We start from the raw sequence: 4,029 nt of genomic DNA on the forward strand, positions 1-4,029 counted from the left end.
AAGGACATTCATAGCCACTCTGCCTCACTTAAATTGGAGATCCATGTATTCACATGTTTTTATTATGCTGGCTTTGAGAGAGAAGATCTCACTGTCACCCAGGCTGGAGGGCAGTGGTGCGATCATAACTCACTGCAGCCTCAAACTCCTGGGCTCAAGTAATCTTCCCATCTCAGACTCCCAAAGTGCTGGGATTACAAGCATGAGCCACTGTACTGGCTATTCTGCTGTTTGGCAAGTGGAGCCTTGCTGATCCTGAGAGACTGCCCATCCCAGGACTAGCTAATTTTAAGTGGTAGCAAAGGACTCCCCTGGGTATGTGCCTTTGATATGCAACCAAACAATTCAGTGCCCATTCCCTTCCCCCACCCCCTTTATCAAGGCCTCACACATGGAGCCACTATCTTCCTGCCATAACCACTCCAGGGTCAGATATTAAGCAAGTAGGGACAGTTCCTAATGAAATTCAGGCCTGTAATCTCAGCACTTTGGGAAGCTGAAGTGGGAGGATCACTTGAGTCCAGGAGTTTGAGACCAGCTTGGGCAACATAGTGAGACCCCATCTCTACAAAAAGATATAATAATTAGCTAGGCATGGTGGTGTATGCCTGTACTCCCAGCTACTTGGGAGGCTGAGGTGGGAGTATTAAATGAGCCCAGGAGGTTGAGGCTGCAGTGAGCTATGATGGTACCACTGTACTCCAGCCTAGGTGACAAGAGTGAGAGCCTGTCTCAAAATAAAATAAAATTAAAAAGCCAAGCCTAACCCTGCTTAGCTTGCTTACCTTGTCTTGACCATTCTTACCTGCAAAAGCACAGTGAAGGTTCTTGCCCATGCTTTCCCCCAGCTCCTGCTGTTTTTCCGATCCTGCTGCTTCCGCATGTGGTCCTACACTGCCTGGTGTGTGCCCCTTTCTTGGGAAGTGTGTGTAGCTAAGCATCTCTTCAATGGCAGTATCTCCTGATCTGTTGGCCTCACCATACCTGAATAATAAAATTGGCCTCTCAAAATGCCACCTCAAACCATTACATGGAAGTTACATTTCCGTGTAATTTCTAGAGTACTGGGTACCTACATCAGGCAACATGGTATAGAACCATGGATTGGAGGATGGATTGATGCCAAGGAGGGACTGTTTAGGTGAATTACTAGGAACCAGACATCCAAGGGACCACTGTGTTGGTGGGATCCCAGTGATGTCAGTAGTCAAGACTTTAGAAAAATAGTTCCAGATGCCTTTCTCATTGTTGGACACTTCTGAAAAAGGCCAAGCACAACTAATTGAGGGCCCCAGATATACAAACATTATTCTGTCATTTCTCCAAGCTGTTTGAAGTTTGAAGTTTGTCTTTCTGTATATTATTTCCCAGTCCTACCTACATCATTTGTTCTTTTTTTTTTTTTTTTCTTTTTTCTTTTTTTGAGATGGAGTTTTGCTCTTGTTGCCCAGGCTGGAGTGCAATGGCGCAATCTCGGCTCACCGCAACCTCTGCCTCCCAGGTTCAAGCAATTCTGTCTCAGCCTCCCGAGTAGCTGAGATCACAGGCATGCACCACCATGCCTGGCTAATTTTGTATTTTTAGGAGAGATGGGGTTTCTCCATATCGAGGCTGGTCTCAAACTCCTGACCTCAAGTGATCTGCCCACCTCAGCCTCCCAAAGTGCTGGGATTACAGGCGTGAGCCACCGCGCCCGGCCCATTTGTTTGCTTGATATTCTCAGGCATCTGCATTAACTCTCTTTTCTTATGATCTACGGCATTGCAGTTGTATAGCCTCTCAACATACCTGTTTGCCCTTCCCAGTGCCATTCCATGTCCCTGCTCTTGGGTAAAATGACACGTGTTTGAAGTGGTCCCTTCTCACTCTGTCTCTTGTTGATCCCTGGAATCACACATAAGCAGTGGTCACTTTCTTTGCAATCTTGAGTTTCCTCCTGACATTTGCCTTCGATGTCATCATGGCCACCTACAAGCCTGTTTTTCATCTGCATGTTCTTTTGTCACTTACACTTTCTAAGTTATCTTTGCATAACTGACTTCTGCTTGAGTGTCAGTCACCACCAGTCTGGTCTTTCCTGTGTGTGTATGGGTTTCTCCAACTTGATTATTTGTCCTTTCCTCCCTCTCCTCCTTTAATAGAGGAGCCTCTTAGGGATGTTTTCCTTTTTTGTGTAATATTTTCACTTCTCCATTACCTCTTTCTTGATTTCTCTCCACTTCCCAAACCTCTACTCTTTGTGGAACTCCTTGCTACAATGCCACCTTCTCCGACATTGTGACTAAGGTCAGAAGTGACTTGGTGCTTATAAATCACAAGTCCTTGTCATTCTTGGGCCATCAGTAGAATTTTATTGTGTCTAATACTCAATTCGTGAAATATGTTCTCTTTCCTTGGCTCTGTAACATCTTTTTCCTCATTCGTTCCCTCCCTCTCTCCCTTCTTTGTGCAGTCATCCATATCTAGCTGCCCACTCAATGTTGAAATACCTAAAGGTTTTGTCCAAGGCTCTTTTGCCTTGTATGGCCTCTCCCCAGCCTCATCTGTGCCCTTGGCTTCAGTTACCTCCCTTACTTTAAAGGCATTGAAAATAGAATACCCCAGTCTTGAGCAATCCTTACAGCTCTGGACCTGAATTACCAGTTATCTTCTTGCTATCTTCACATAGATGTTTCAAAGATACCTCATTCTTCACCTGATGTAAATAAGATCAATAAAATGCTTCTCCCTGACTCTGATCTACTTCAGTCTTCCCTCTTTACTACATGGCACTGTTTAGTTACGTTGGCTAGAAATTTCCAACTCAGCATAGTTACCTCAATCTCTTCCTCCTTCATGTACAATCAGAAAGTTGTGTTTTTTTGTTTGTTTTTTTTTTAACACAGAATCTCGTTCTGTCCCCAGGCTGGAGCAGTGGTGCGAACTCGGCTCACTGCAACCTCCGCCTCCTGGGTTCAAGCAATTCTCCTGCCTCAGCCTCCTGAGTAGCTGGGATTATAGGTGCATGCCACCACACCCAGCTAATTTTTGTATTTTTAGTAGAGACGGGGTTTCACCACGTTGGCCAGAATGGTCTCAATCTCCTGACCTTGTGATCTGCCTGCCTTGGCCTCCCAAAGTGCTGGGATTACAGGTGTGAGCCACTGCCCCGGCCCCATCATTTTTAATTCTTAAATATCTCTCAAGTATGTCCACTTCTCTCTACCACCTCTTCCTAGTCCATCCACTCACCATCTATCATCTCAATTAGTGTCCTTTTACCCACATTTTCTCTTCAATCCATTCTCTAAGCTGAAACCAGAGAACCATCTCAGATTTAATAGTGCTCTGCTTCGCCCTCCCTCTGCCCCCACTACGTTTCCTGAAAACTTTTTATGGCTTCAACTCTTGGGATAAAAACCAAATATGGCCAGGTGTGGTAGTTCACAACTGTAATCTCAGCACTTTGGGAGGCCAAGGTAGGAGGATTGCTTGAGCCCAGGTATTTGAGACCAGCCTGGGCAACAAAGTGAGACCTCATCTCTAAAAACAACTCCCAAATCATTACACGGTCAATCCTTTGGGCTTTATCTGAGCTTTATCTGGTCTGGGAGGTGCCTCATTTACTACCTTTCATCTTGCATAACTTATGCCCTTTCTGTTTTCACTTTGTGTTTCCTTTTCCCACCTGCCATGGGGCTTTTCCACCACACACTTTGTCCAGTAGTGAATATTTATCCTTCATCCCAGCTACGTCATAAGCATTCTTTCATAAATATCTGTGTGTGTGTGTGCATACACATGCATATATATTTAGGTTTGATTACTGACTCCTGACTGTCTCACCAACTAGATTTCCAGCTTCAAAAGAGCACAGATGTTAATATGGATTTTATCCTAATTGTTCCATGCACATAGTTCCTAGTCAGTAGTAGATATTCAGATATCTGCTAAATGGATACGTGGATGAATGGCCTTAATCATCTTGATATTTTAGGTTACTTACCTCAGGCTTCATGATTTGCTAGAAGTACACACAAGACTCAGAAA

The 4,029-nt window shown here is 44.5% G+C and overlaps 1 annotated feature.

Moving 5' to 3' along the window:
* Window positions 46-579: an enhancer, noted in NCBI's record as "NANOG hESC enhancer chr19:57774577-57775110 (GRCh37/hg19 assembly coordinates)". NCBI's record gives its function as "activates a minimal SCP1, AML or CMV promoter by ChIP-STARR-seq in primed H9 embryonic stem cells {active_cell/tissue: H9 hESC(primed)}" and the evidence as "EXISTENCE:reporter gene assay evidence [ECO:0000049][PMID:30033119]".

This window comes from Homo sapiens, chromosome 19, assembly GCF_000001405.40.
Source record: "Homo sapiens chromosome 19, GRCh38.p14 Primary Assembly".
Lineage (NCBI taxonomy): Eukaryota > Metazoa > Chordata > Mammalia > Primates > Hominidae > Homo > Homo sapiens.